The sequence below is a fragment of the Homo sapiens genome, chromosome 19 (genome assembly GCF_000001405.40).
Source record: "Homo sapiens chromosome 19, GRCh38.p14 Primary Assembly".
Taxonomy (NCBI): Eukaryota; Metazoa; Chordata; class Mammalia; order Primates; family Hominidae; genus Homo; species Homo sapiens.
The window spans coordinates 38,538,983-38,554,093 of NC_000019.10; the positions used below are offsets into that span (position 1 = coordinate 38,538,983).

The 15,111-nt window shown below is 46.5% G+C and overlaps 1 protein-coding gene across 5 annotated transcripts in view, besides 2 other annotated features; it reads left to right on the top strand.

Annotated features, from left to right (window-relative positions):
• Window positions 1–15,111, top strand: part of RYR1 (ryanodine receptor 1) — a 153,874-nt gene that overhangs the window by 105,292 nt on the left and 33,471 nt on the right. For all 5 annotated transcript variants that reach the window (NM_000540.3, XM_011527205.3, XM_006723317.3 and 2 more), the window contains 5 exons: window positions 4,365–4,453; window positions 4,550–4,678; window positions 4,789–4,893; window positions 7,463–7,544; window positions 9,251–9,438. In NM_000540.3, the coding sequence (NP_000531.2) occupies window positions 4,365–4,453; window positions 4,550–4,678; window positions 4,789–4,893; window positions 7,463–7,544; window positions 9,251–9,438 (593 nt within the window). The remainder of the gene's footprint in view (window positions 1–4,364; window positions 4,454–4,549; window positions 4,679–4,788; window positions 4,894–7,462; window positions 7,545–9,250; window positions 9,439–15,111) is intronic.
• Window positions 5,211–5,270: an enhancer, noted in NCBI's record as "active region_14574". NCBI's record gives its function as "activates an Ori minimal core promoter by ATAC-STARR-seq in GM12878 lymphoblastoid cells {active_cell/tissue: GM12878}" and the evidence as "EXISTENCE:reporter gene assay evidence [ECO:0000049][PMID:35858748]".
• Window positions 5,621–5,710: an enhancer, noted in NCBI's record as "active region_14575". NCBI's record gives its function as "activates an Ori minimal core promoter by ATAC-STARR-seq in GM12878 lymphoblastoid cells {active_cell/tissue: GM12878}" and the evidence as "EXISTENCE:reporter gene assay evidence [ECO:0000049][PMID:35858748]".

Below are 15,111 nucleotides of genomic sequence, written 5' to 3' on the forward strand. Positions count from 1 at the left end.
CCACAGACTACCCGGAAATCAACTTTCGTGACAAGAATTGGAGTAATTAGTAATCTTACTTCCATAGAACCTTCACCCACTTGGTTAGTGCTCTTTAAGGTAACTGATTTGTAAATATCTTTAATCTTCATTCTTTTTCTTTCAACAAAGGATAAAGTATGATCTCTTTGTCTTGAATTTTCAAAAGCTCTTGTGTCCACAACGAGTTTTTCAAGGTTTATTAAATACCTTTGTGCCATGGGACTAAGATTTTTTCTTTTTTTTTTTTTTTTTTTTAGACAGAGTCTCACTCTTGTCGCCCAGACTGGAGTGCAGTGGTGTGATCACAGCTCGCTGCAACCTCTGCCTCCTGGGCTCAAGTAATCCACCCCTCAGCCTCCCGAGTATCCAGGACTACAGGCATGCATCACCATGTCTGGCTAAGTTTTTTATTTTTTGTAGAGATGAGATCTCACTGTGTTGCCCAGGGGATCTCAAACTCCTGGATTCAAGCAATCCTCCTGCCTTGGCCTCCTAAAATGCTGGGATTACAGGTGTGAGCCACCATACCCAGCCGGGACTAAGATTTTCATTCTTTAATTTTAACTAAGATGGAATCAGTCTTTGGGTTTAAAATAAATTTTATTCCTCAGGAATATGAAGTTTTGAAAATGAGAATGTTGTTATGAAAGGGATTGCTGTCTCCCAACATATTTGCAACCCAGTCCTCGCCTAAATTCATGACCTAATCAAATAGATATTTGAAATATCTTTCAAATCTCAGACCCCTTGCATGTCTTGAGGAGTCAGTGCTATTCAAAGCAGACAAAAGGTTTGTCTCTCACTTATTTGCACATGTCTATAACAGGTGTTGTCAGTTGCCAGAATTTTTTTTACAGGAGCTGTGTATCTTTTATTTTTGCATATAGCCCAATTTAAATTAACACAATTTAATTTAACAATTTAAATTAACACAAATAAAGGAGTTAGAAAGCAGGGTTGATGGGAAAACCTGTACCTTTGCTTATAAAATTTTGAATATTTGAGTATGCTTTGTCTATGTCATGAAACTAGGCAAAATGGGCCTTCTGTTGAGCCAACCTGATAGAGCAATTGTGAACTGACTGTAAAAAAGTTAAGGGGAAAGAAAAACGGGGGGCAAAAATACTTTCAGGGGCTGTTAAAACCTTCCTGTGCAACATGATGTTGCTATAAACATTTAAAAGGACTTGGCTGGGCACTGTGGCTCATGCCTGTAATCCCAGCACTTTAGGAGGCTGAGGCAGGAGGATCACTTGAGCCCAGCAGTTCAAGACAAGTCTGGGCAACATAAGGAGACCCTGTCTCTACCAAAAAAAAAAAAAATCATATACTACAGTATAATAAACCTCCAATCATATACTACAGTATAATAAACCTCCAATCATATACTACAGTATAATAAACCTCCAATCATATACTACAGTATAATAAACCTCCAATCATATACTACAGTATAATAAACCTCCAATCATATACTACAGTATAATAAACCTCCAATCATATACTACAGTGTAATAAACCTCCAATCATATACTACAGTGTAATAAACCTCCAATCATATACTACAGTGTAATAAATCTCCAATCATATACTACAGTGTAATAAACCTCCAATCATATACTACAGTGTAATAAACCTCCAATCATATACTACAGTGTAATAAACCTCCAATCATATACTACAGTGTAATAAACCTCCAATCATATACTACAGTGTAATAAACCTCCAATCATATACTACAGTGTAATAAACCTCCAATCATATACTACAGTGTAATAAACCTCCAATCATATACTAAAGTGTAATAAACCTCCAATCATATACTACAGTGTAATAAACCTCCAATCATATACTACAGTGTAATAAACCTCCAATCATATACTACAGTGTAATAAACCTCCAATCATATACTACAGTGTAATAAACCTCCAATCATATACTACAGTGTAATAAACCTCCAATCATATATTACAGTATAATAAACCCCCAACTACCCATCACTCAGCTTTAACAGTTTGCTTTCACAGAACAATGTTTTTTAAATAGTGGGAACCAACCCATCAGACAGACGTTCATGAATCAGTTTCACGCAGAGGTTCTCATTGTAATTGTACACTGGCATGCCTGGGGAGCTTTAAAAGAGACTTAAGCCCAGGTTTTGCCTTTACAGGTTCTAATTCAATTGATCTGGGGTTGGGCCTGAGCACTGGGGTTTTTAAAAGCCTCCTAGTTGTCCTGATGTGCAGCCAAGGTTGAGAGGATGAGAAGCACACACTTCTTCTTTTGTAGTTAACTAGAGCAGTACAGGACAGAAAAGAACAGAATGCATGGCACAGAGTAAGGCAATGTGAAACTTCTCTTTCGGGAATAGGTGAATATAATTTCAGATTGAACACATGTATCAGGTCTCAATGTAAAAAGGATTTCCTCGGCTGGGTGTGGTGGCTTACACCTGTAATCCCAGCACTTTGGGAGGCCGAGGCAGGTGGATCACAAGGTCAGGAGTTGGAGACCAGCCTGTCCAATATGGTGAAACCCTGTCTCTACTAAAAATGCAAAAAAATTAGCCGGGCGTGGTGGCGCATGCCTGTAATCCCAGCTACTCAGGAGGCTGAGGCAGGAGAATTGCTTGAACCTGGGAGGCAGAGTTTGCAGTGAACTGAGATCATGCCACTGCACTCCAGCCTGGGTGACAGAGCAAGACTGTATCTCAAAAAAAAAAGGATTTCCTACCATAGATTGCAGTCAGAAAAGATTAAAAAATTACTGCACAAGAATATAAACTTCACAAGGGCAGGGGCTGGACATACGGCTCATGTCTGTAATCCCAGCACTATGGGAGGTCAAGGTAGGAGGGTTGCTTGAGGCCAGGAGTTCGAGACCAGCCTGGGCTGGTCTCAACAAAAAAATTAAAAATTGGCCGGATGTGGTGGCTCACACCTATAGTTCCAGCTACCTGGGAGGCTGAGGTGGGAGGACCACTTGAACCCAGGAGGTCAAGGCTGCAGTGAGCTATGATCATGCCACAGTACTCCAACCTAGGCAACAGAGGGAGACCTTGTCAAAAAAAAAAAAAAATCCCCCCCAAGGCCGGGGACTGTTTTTTTTTTTTTTACTACTGTATCCCCAGAGCCTAGAATACTGCATGACACATAGTAAGAACGCAACAAATTTGTTGTAGCAAAGAGGATGTGACAATCTTAATCTCGTGAGGATGTAGTATACACTCAATAAAATATGTTGAATAAATGAACAAGTGACCAATCCATATGTTCCCTGGCCTTTAGTAGGTGCTCAATAAATATTTGTTGGATAAATGCATGAATATCCCCAGCACATAGGAGGAATTTGATAAAATTGTTTGGAAACTAACGAGGAACTGAATCTCTATTTCTCCCTGCTACATAGTTGGTGGTCAATATACAAATTTGTTGGAAAAAACTGAATGAATAAATGACGCTCCACCACATTTGACACATAGCAGGCCCTCAATAATATTTATATTTTATTTTTTTATATTTATTTATTTTTTGAGACGGAGTTTCACTCTTGTTGCCCAAGCTGGAGTGCAGTGGCATGATCTAGGCTCACTGCAACCTCTGCCTTCCGGGTTCAAGCAATTCTCCTGCCTCAGCCTCCCAGGTAGCTGGGATTACAGGCACATGCCACCACACCTGGCTAATTTTGTATTTTTTTTAGTAGAGACGGGATTTCACCATGTTGGCCAGGCTGGTCTCAAACTCCTGACCTCAAGTGATCCACCCACCTGGGCCTCCCAAAGTGCTGGGATTACAGGTGTGAGCCACCGCTCCCAGCCTATTTTAAAATTATTTATTTATTTATTTATTTATTTTTGAGACGGGGTTTCCATCTTGTTGCCCAGGCTGGACTGCAATGGTGAGATCTCCACTCACTGCAACCTCTGCCTCCGGGGTTGAAGCGATTCTCCTGCCTCAGCCTCCCAAGTAGTTAGGATTGCAGGTGCCCACCACCACACCCAGCTAATTTTTGTATTTTTAGTAGAGACGGGGTTTCACCATGTTGGTCAGGCTGGTCTCAAACTCCTGACCTCAGGTGATCTGCCTGCCTGGGCCTCCCAAAGTGCTGGAATTACAGGCGTGAGCCACCCGGCCAGTATTTTTAGACAAATGAATAAATGATCATCCATCTTTCTCTGTCACATAGTAAGTACTTGATAGTTATTAAATAAATTGATGATGATATGCTTTCTGGCATACAATAGGAACTCAACACATGAGTATTGCATAAATGAATAAATGACCCACTGTTCATCTCCCCTAGCACATGGGAGGTGCTGGATAAATGACTTTTCATCTCCCCAGATTTCCAGAACTACCTACGGACACAGACAGGGAACACGACCACTATTAACATCATCATTTGCACTGTGGACTACCTCCTGCGGCTGCAGGTGAGGACGTGAGACGGTTCAGGTGTGACTTGGGTCGGGGGCTGCAGGGCCATGGTCGGCCCCAGCACCCCCTCACACCCTACCCGCCCCCACCAGGAATCCATCAGCGACTTCTACTGGTACTACTCGGGCAAGGATGTCATTGAAGAGCAGGGCAAGAGGAACTTCTCCAAAGCCATGTCGGTGGCTAAGCAGGTGTTCAACAGCCTCACTGAGTACATCCAGGTAGGGCGCTCCCCCTGGGGCGGGAGTGGGAAGGGAGGGGGTCCCGCATCGTGATCCCTGATCCCTTCTCGGGGATTCCCTTCCCCCCCACACGGCACTCTGCCTCCCAGGGTCCCTGCACCGGGAACCAGCAGAGCCTGGCGCACAGTCGCCTATGGGACGCAGTGGTGGGATTCCTGCACGTGTTCGCCCACATGATGATGAAGCTCGCTCAGGTTCGAGCCCCTCTGGTCTCCATCCACCTGCTTCCGGGCGTCCCCCAAGTGGTCCATTTCCAAGTCTTGCCCCTTTGGTCAGTTTGTCACCCGAGTGCTCCCGGCATGTTCCAGACTGGTTCCCTCTCAGTGGCCAAATCCATCCTCTTTCTGGATTGGCTGTCTGCATGACCCCGCCTCCTCCTCTGCCCCTCCCTCCCCACCAATCAGCTGGTTTTCCATCCACGCTTCCATTGGTCTGACGTGTTGGCCCCGTCCCAATGGCCGGAGCTCCTCTATGATTGATTGCTGTTTTTCTCTCTGATGAGTCATCGCAGATGTGGACAGTCCTTGGGCTAGGATGGGGCTGGTTTCTAGATTAGAGCCTGGGGCTGAGGAAATGTTTTGCTTCTTTATCTTACTTGCGGCAGATGACACCCATATCAGGCATTCATGATGTAAGGTCCCTGTTGAGCACCACCTTCCATTTCCATAATCCTTGTTCCTCTTTCCCTCACCCCTTTGCAGCCTTGCCAATGTCTCACGAACACTTAATCCATTTGCTCTGCTTCTGTCTGGTAACTATATTCAAGGCTGCCATATACTGTTCCGCAGGTCGTGCACTGCACAAAGGCACGATCTCTGAGAGCATTCACATCCTACACATAATGGTGTATTTATTACAATAGTTTAGTTTTCCAGCAGATGGCAGTAAAGCATCCAGCATGTTATAACTTCCCTACAGGAAGTGTTTTAGGGGACGCCTTTTTTTCTAATTTGCTCAAAGGTGCCCCAGGGGCTGGCAGAAACCCTAATTCGTTGTCATCTGACTTTTTAAAAGGAGTTAAACTTAGAATGCAATTCCTCCGTGTCACAGCAGCTGAAGTTGTGCTGTTGGTATCCTAAAATTCTAGAGAGTGTTGGTATCATCATGTAGAATTCCAAATCCTGCAGGGCTAATTCATCCGCCACCATCTAGTCTAGGTTGCAAAAGCTAGAAATCCAGTGCAAAGTGGTGGCTTAAGAAAAATAAAGAATTTATCAGTTCATATTACAGATCCAGGGCTTAGAGTGATGTCAGCAGAACTGCCTCCTCTTTGACTGCATTTGCAAGCAGGCTGTCTCCCTGGGCTGGAAAAAATGGTGCCTCAGGCTCCTATCCACTCTACTTCTTAACAGCCCTAGAGGGAAGAGATCTCCTCTTTCCTGAAAGCTCCAAGAAAAAAAAAAACCTGAGATTCTCTCTGACTAGCCTATTGGGTCACATGTCCCTCCCTGAACCAATCATCATAGGCTTAGGAAAGAAAGCTTTGACTGACCAGGCCCGGTCATATACCCACCTATAGAACCAGGAGGTAGGGTTAGCCCCATGTGCTCTGACTGTGGGATGGGGGACTCCGCAGGTGAAAATTGAGGGATTGTAAAGAGAGGAGGGGGACTGAATCATGGGTAGGCACAAACCACAGGCGCCCACCCACTGTAAGATCTTGAGATTAGGAGTGTCGGGACCTTAGGCGCAGAATGCAGAGCTTTGGAACTGTGGAAATACATTAGGATTGGAATCAACAACTGATAGAACTAGCATGGGAGCAAAAGATCCTTACATCCCATTTATCTGGTATCATCTCCTCCCCTCTCCATTTTATTTGGTGGAACCATATGAAATTACCACTTTGGATCTGGCACGGTGGCTCATACCTGTAATCCCAGCACTCTGGGAGCCCTAGGCGGGCAGATCACCTGAGGTCAGGAGTTCGAGACCAGCCTCACCAACATGGAGAAACCCCATCTCTGTTAAAAGTAAAAAATTAGCTGGGTATGGTGGCGCATGCCTGTAATCCAGCTACTCGAGAGGCTTAGGCAGGGGAATTGCTTGAACCTGGGAGGCAGAAGTTGCAGTGAGCCGAGATTGCGCCATTACATTCCGGCCTGGGCAACAAGAGCAAAACTCTGTCTCAAAAAGAAAGAAATTACCACTTTGTGAGCCAAAAGTGATCACATGTTGGCAATTTTATGTGACTCAACCTAACATAAATAGGGGCCATGAGGCAAAACTTTGTATTGGAGGTTTCTATGGGCCCTACACTGTGGCCCTATGTTCCCCGCAGACGGCTTACCAGAAAGCACATGGCTGTCTCTGCAGCCTTCCTCCTGAACCCAGAGTCCCACTCTTGCCATCACACATTATATTCAACATACATCTGTCAATCCCACCGTAGGCCAGGCACAGTGCTGGGCTCACATCCCTTCCTAGACCTGGGTCTCTGTCCCCAGTGTTTGTCTCTGTCTGTCTCTGTCTCTCTCTGCCCCAAATGTCTGCCCCGCAAGCCTCTCAGTCCTCCTTGTCTGCCAGCCTTCCCACTACCCATCACCTATCGAGCCCGTCCCCCAAGTGCCAACCCCACCCCCACAATCTTGTCTCTCTGCCCCTTCCCCTGCTTCCGAGGAACATGTCTGGACTCGGGTCCCCTCGGAGGTAAGAGGGGAGAAAACGGGTTTAGGCCCTGCTGGGTAGGTGAGGAGGGGGAGAAGCAACAGAGGTGGGGGAGGTGTATGCTGAGACCAGCCCTCACCGAGCTGGGATCTCTAGGACTCAAGCCAGATCGAGCTGCTGAAGGAGCTGCTGGATCTGCAGAAGGACATGGTGGTGATGTTGCTGTCGCTACTAGAAGGTAAACACCCAGGAGTGAGGGTGAGGGAACAGTAAAGAGGTTCAGAGAAGCCTGAGAATGGCCCCCTGAGACCCGGGAGACCCTAATCCTCAACCCCATCTGACATCGTGTCAGGATCCATGGGTTGATGAAGAAGCCATAATAGGCCAGATGCGGTGGCTACACCTGTAATCCCAGCACTTTGGGAGGCCGAGGTGGGAAGATCACCTGAAGTCAGGAGTTTGAGACCAGCCTGGGCAACATGGTGAGACCCTGTCTCTACTAAAAATACAAAAATTAGCCTAGTGTGGTGGTGTGTGCCTGTAGACCCAGCTACTCGGGAGGCTGAGGTGGGAGGATCACCAGAGCCCGGGAGGTCCAGGCTGCAGTGAGCTGTGATCACACCACTGCACTCCAGCCTGGGTGACAGAGCAAGACCCTGTCTCAAAAAAACAAACCCCAAAAACAAACCAAATGTCCAAATGTGGCAAAAGATAAACAATTGATGAATGTGGATATATTAGGATCCCTTTTTTTTTTTTTTCTTTTCTGAGACGGAGTCTCGCTCTGCCGCTCAGGCTGGAGGTGCGGTGGCGCGATCTCGGCTCACTGCAAGCTCCGCCTCCCAGGTTCACGCCATTCTCCTGCTTGGCCTCCCCGGTAGCTGGGACTACAGGCGCCCGCCACCACACCTGGCTAATTTTTTTTTTTTTTTTTTTGTATTTTTAGTAGAGACGGGGTTTCACCATGTTGGTCAGGATGGTCTGGATCTCCTGACTTCGTGATCCTCCCGCCTCAGCCTCCCAAAGTGCTGGGATTACAGACTTGAGCCACTGCGCCCAGCCTACATTAAAATTTAAAAATTACAAAAATAAACTGGAGCCAAGCTTCAGCTGCTGCCTTTAGAGGGAGTGTGGGATCGCAGTTTGCCAATCTCTACCTCTCCTTGCTGCTTACCACTGGCTAGCCTCAGTCTTCTGTGGACCCTCCTGACTGTGTGTACTGGTGGAAGTTTTAGTTGTGTAAGCCCTGAGGTCATGCAGCTCTGAGTTCAAATCCATTCTCCCCACTTTACTGGCTATGTAACTTTGAGTGCATGACTTTCTCTATGTCTCAGTTTCTCTTCCTAAAAGTAGAGTCACACACTTCCCTTTTTGTGTGATTGTGCCAGGGTAGCATTTGGCACCTACCTTTAGCGTACATCATCATTATCTTTTTTTTTTTTTTTGAGACAGAGTCTCACTCCATCACCCAGGCTGGAGTGCAGTGGCACGATCTCGGCTCTGCAACCTCCGCCTCCCAGGTTCAAGCAATTCTCGTGCCTCAGCCTCCCAAGTAGCTGGAAATACAAGCACATGCCACCACGCCCAGCTGATTTTGTATTTTTAATAGAGACGGGGTTTCACCATGTTGGCCAGGCTGGTCTCAAACTCCTGGCCTCAAGTGATCCACCCACCTCGGTCTCCCAAAGTGCTGGGATTACAGGCGTGAGCCACCACGTCCGACCTGACATCATTAGCTTTACTGGGGGAGGTGGGCAAAGGCAGGATCAGCCAGGTTGGCACAGGAGGCTGACGCAGGTCAGGAAGGGACCTGTGGAGGGGAGGCTGTGGCTGGCCAGGGACACTCCAGCAGCGTGGTGGCTCCTGGGCTGGAAAGAGAGGCAAGCCTGGTGGGGCCCCAGAAGGGAGTGTTCACCGGCCACACTGACCTGGGGCTGCCTGCAGGGAACGTGGTGAACGGCATGATCGCCCGGCAGATGGTGGACATGCTCGTGGAATCCTCATCCAATGTGGAGATGATCCTCAAGTTCTTCGACATGTTCCTGAAACTCAAGGACATTGTGGGCTCTGAAGCCTTCCAGGACTACGTAACGGATCCCCGTGGCCTCATCTCCAAGAAGGACTTCCAGAAGGTGGGTGTGGGACATCGTGTGGGCCCAGGACTTGGGTGGGGTTGCCAAGGGCCAGCCATACCCTTCTGGCTGGCTGCCTCAGGCAAGAGACATCTCTGCAAGCCTCACTTTCCTTGTTTGTAAAATGAGGATAAAACAGTCCTTGGGTTATATGTATTCTGTTTTATTTCATTTTAGAGACAAGGTCTTTCTCTGTTGCCCAGGCTGGAGTGCAGTGGCGTGATCATAGCTCACTGCAGCCTTGACCTCCTGGCTTAAGCAATCCTCCCACCTCAGCCTCCTGAGTAGTTGGGACGACGGGTGTGTGACATCATGCCTGGCTAATTTTTAAGTTTATTTTTTGTAGAGATGTGGTCTCACTACATTACCCAGGCTCCTCTTGAACTCTTGGGCTCCAACAATTCTCCTACCTTGGCCTCCCAAAGTGCTGGGATTATAGGCATGAGCCACCTCGCTCAGCCCCCTTGGGTTATTTTGAGGATGAAATGCATTAACACAGATGAGAACCGTTATTACTGTTATCTTTATTGATAGTCATAACATTATCATTATTGTGAATAGGCATCAGTTATTCCATCAATAAACATTGGCTGGCTTTCTTCTCTGTGTAGGGCCTGTAGTGACACTATTGACGCATCAATGACCAAGATAGACACAGCCCGTGCTTTCATGGGTTTATAGTCTAATGGGGGAGGCAGTCACTAACTAGACCATTCCAAGTCTAAATAATGAGCCTGCTAGGAGGGAAGTGCTGGAACATCCTTATTCAGAAACCCACTCCTCCTCCTCTAACCACCTCTCCCATCCTAACTCTCCATCTTTTCTTCTGAGCCTCAGTTTCCTACTCTGTAAAATGGGGATAGGATAATCACATTAACCACTAACTATTGGCAGTGTGCGGTGGTTCATGCCTATAATCCCAGCAATTTGGGAGGCCGAGGTGGGAGGATCGCTTGAGCCCAAGAGTTCGAGATCAGCCTGGGCAACCTAGTGAAACCCTGTATCTATAAAAATAAAAATAAAACAACTATTAACTATTGTGAGGATGGGCAGTGCGGGCAGTACCTGGAATATGGTGAGTCCTCAAGAGATGTTAGCTGCTATTACTACTCCCTGATCTTTAATGTTACCATTTTGTTAACTTTTTATTTTGAAATAACTTCAGGTTTATAGAGACGTTGCAAGAACAGCACATAGAATTTCTGAATACCTTTCACCCACATTGCCCAAATGTTTTCTATTTACTATTTACTCCATCATGATTTCCCTTTCCTTTCCTTTTTTTTTTTTTTTTTTTTTTTTGAGACGGAGTTTTGCTCTTGTTGCCCAGGCTGGAGTGCAGTGGTGCAATCTCAGCTCAGTGCAACCTCCGCCTCCTGGGTTCAAGCGATTCTCCTGCCTCAGCCTCCTGAGTAGCTGGGATTACAGGCACGCACCACCATGCCCAGCTAAATTTGTGTGTGTGTGTGTGTGTGTGTGTGTGTGTGTGTGTGTGTGTGTGTGTGTTGTATTTTTAGTAGAGATGGGATTTCACCATGTTGGCCAGGCTGGTCTTGAACTCCTGGCCTCAAGTGATCTGCCTGCCTCGGCCTCCCAAAGTGCTGGGATTACAAGCATGAACCACCTCGCCTAGCCAATTTCCCTTTACTTTGAAACACTTCAGCGTGTATCTCCTGAGAACAAATTCATTCTCCTACCTAAGCACAGGACAATTATGCTAATCAGGAAATTAACATTGGCACAATGCTGCTATCTAATCCTAGACCTTATTCAGTTTCCCTTGTTGAATAAATTTCTTTCGTCAATGTCTTTTCTTTGCCAACCCAGAACCAGGGATTGTATTTAGGTGTTCTGTCTGTTTTCCTCCTTCAGTCTGGAACTGTGCCTGGGTCTGTCTTTATCTTTCCTGACATGTTTGAAGAACGCAGGCAAACTGTTTTGTAAAATGTCGTTCAGTGTGGGTTTGTCTGAGTTTTCATCATTATCAGACTAGGGTTATGCATCTTTTGCAGGAATATCAGAGAAGTGATGTGTCCTCAGTGTAATGTATTAGGAGGCACATGTGGTTTCATCCCATTACTGTTTATTTTCTTATTTATTTGTTTTTAGAGTCAGAGTCTTGCTCTATTGCCCCGGCTGGAGTGCAGTCAAACAATCCTAGCTCACTGCATCCTTGACCCCCTGGGCTCAGGCGATCCTCCTGCCTCAGCCACCCAAAGTGCTGGGATTACAGGTGTGAGTCACTGCACCTGGCCAATGTCTCTTCCCATTACTGTTGTTAACTTGGATGGCTTGGTTAACTCGGTGTTCACCAGGGGCTCCACAATGAAGTTACTGTTATTCCCTTTGGAATCAATAAGTGTCTCATGAGGATATACTTTGAGGCTATGTAAATATTCTGCTAACTCTGGGGTCATCATCCATTGATGATTCTTGCCTGAAACAATTATTCCTCTAGTAGCTGACAAATGGTGGTTTTCTCATTTCGCCGTATGCTTTACCATCACTAGGCACCATTTTACTGTAAGAAAGAGTGTTTCCTTCTTGTCCATTTCATTTCATTTTCTCATTCATCCATTCATTTATATCAGTGTGGATTCACGGCTTTTTTTTTTTTTTTTTTTTTTTTTTTTTTTTTTTTTTTGAGACGGAGTTTTGCTCTTGTTGCCCAGGCTGGAGTGCAATGGTATGATCTTGGCTCACTGCAACCTCCGCCTCCTGGGTTCAGTGATTCTTCTGCCTCAGCCTCCCAAGTCGCTGGGATTACAGGTATGCACCACCATGCCTGGCTAATTTTGTATTTTTAGTAGAGACGGGGGTTTCACCATGTTGGTCAGGCTGGTCTCGAACTCCCGACCTCAAGTGATGGTCAGGCTGGTTTCAAATTCCCAACCTCAAGTGATCCGCCCGCCTCAGCCTCCCAGAGTGCTGGGATTACAGGTGTGAGCCACTGCACCTGGCCCATGGCTTCTTAGTCTATGGGTTGCAGCTGTGACTGGCCATCTGCACTTAGGTAAGCTCAGGGTTCCCTGAGTTAAAATCAAAGTGCCCCATGCCTTCCAGTTGTCCCCCAAGAGCCTCACTGTGTCTCTCTGCTTCTCAGCCACGCCTTGCAAGAGTCATCTGCCCTTGATCATCTGTTCTCACCTCCCACTCCTTCCCTGATTCGGGGCTTGCCGGCTTCCGTCCCTGTCAGGCTCCTGAAACTCCTCTGACCAAGATCATCAGTGACCTCTTTACCTCTGACTGTCCCCTCTGACTTGTCATCTTGGCAGCCTTTGTCACAGCTGGCCTTTTCGTTTCCCTCCCCAACCCTGAGGGGCAATGCCTGCTTCCCTGAACCTGAGCCTCACATCCTTCGGACCCTGCCTCCCAGCTGATCCCTCCTAGCCTCTTACCCTTCACTGTGCCTGAGCCCTCCACCTTCATGAAGAGCTCATAGTTACCATATTCTCACTCTGTGCCCTGCGTATAAATGAATTTGCTCATTTAGTCCTTACAGCAACCCTACATGGTAAAACATTTTTGTTTTGTTTTGCTTCTTTGAGACAGGGTCTTGCTTTATCAGTCAGTCTGGAGTGCAGTGGCGTGATCACAACTCACTGTAGCCTCCACCTCCCAGGCTCAGGTGATCCTCCTACCTTAGCCTCCCAAGTAACTGGGACTCCAGGTGTGTGCCACCACACCCGGCTACTTTTATTTATTTATTTATTTTAGAGACGGGGTTTGACATGTTGCCCTAGCTGGTCTTGAACTCCAGGACTGAAGCAATCAGCCCACCTCAGGCTCCCAAAGTGCTGGGATTACCAGCATAAGCTACCATGCCCAGCAGGACTGCTTTTTTTTTTTTGAGATGGAGGAGTCTCACTCTGTCACCAGGCTGGAGTGCAGTGATGTGATCTCGGCTCACTGCAAACTCCGCTTCCTGGGTTCAAGCGATTCTTCTGCCTTAGCTTCCCGAGTAGCTGGACTACAGGCATGCGCCACCACACCCAGCTAATTTTTGTATTTTTAGTAGAGACGGGCTTCACCATGTTGGCCAAGGTGGTCTCGATCTCCTGACCTCATGATCCACCTGCCTCGGCCTCCCAAAGTGCTGGGATTACAGGCGTGAGCCACCGCGCCTGGCCAGGATTGCTTTTTATTCCCATTTTATGGATGTGGAAACTGAGGCACAGGGAGATTAAACGGACATGCTTAAGGTCACCCATCTTAATAAGTGACAAGGTTAGGGTTAGACCTCAGGCGGTCTGGCCTCAGAGTACACTGCCTTCAGATTCATCTGTTAATCTGGTCTAATCGATAGTCAGTGAGCACTTCCTGGGGGCTGGGCCCTGGCTGGGGGTCTCAGCCCTACTCTCGAGCCTGGCAGGTTTAGGGAGAGAGTCTGGGGTGGCTACAAGAGAAGCAAAAAGCATTTGCAGGAGCTAAAGTACACATGATTCACAATTGAAAATGAGTAATGATCTCTCCTGACTGGGGCTGCACAGATCACAGGGTTTAATGTCACCTACCTGACATTTTACAGCTCAACATCTGTTACACAAAGTTATAATCTGCAACTGGGAAAAGTGTATTCATTTTATTTTTTGAATATATAATTACTCACGATTTTAAAAATCAAAATATAGGCTGGGCACAGTGGCTCACGCCTGTAATCTCAACACTTTGGGAGGCCAAGGCAGGCAGATCACTTGAGGTCAGAAGTTCAAGACCAGCCTGGGCAACATGGCGAACCTCCCCATCTCTACTAAAAATACAGAAATTAGCCAAGCATGGTGGCAGGTGCCTGTAATCCCGGCTACTCAGGAGGCTAAGGCAGGAGAATCCCTTGAGCCTGGGAGGCAGAGATTGCAGTGAGCTGAGATCACGCCACTGCACTCCAGCCTGGGTGACAGAGTGTGACTCCATATCAAAAAAAAAAAAAAAAAAATCAAAATATAGCCAGGTGCTGTGGCTCACACCAGTAATTCCAGCACTTTAGGAGGCCAAGGCAGGAGGATTGCTTGAGGCCAGGAGTTCAAGACCAGCCTGGACAATATAGCAAGACCCCATTGCTAAAAAAAAAAAAATCAAAAAATTAGCTGGATGTGGAGGTGTGCACCTGTAGTCCCAGCTCCTCTGGAGGCTGACTGAGCTGGGAGGATCCTTTGAGCCCAGAAGGTCAAGGCTGCAGTGAACCATGATTGTACCACTGCACTCCAGCCTGGGCAACAGAGCACAAGACTTTGTCTCAAAAAAACATTTATCAAAATACAGCAAGGCGTGAAGTGAGAAGTCTTACTCCTGCTCTTTTCCAATCCACTCTTCCCCACATCTACCATGGTAAAGCCCTTTCGTTAGTTTCTTTTGTATCCTTCCATCATTTTTTAAATGAAAATACAAACAGATATTTTTGTTTTTCTCGTTTTGTACATAATAGGTATAACATCACTGGTCTGCATTATTTAATAACATATTCTGGAGATATAGGAAGTGTCGTCATTCTTTTTTACAGGTGTCCAATATTCCACGCTGTGTGTATATTATGGTTTATTTGCTATTCCTTGTTGATGGACACTGGCTTTATTCCCAATGTTTTGCTATACAACCCATGTTGCAGTCAGGGCTGTCATGGATAGTTGCACCCATTGTGCACTGCACAAGGATGTCATTTATACCACAGACATTTTA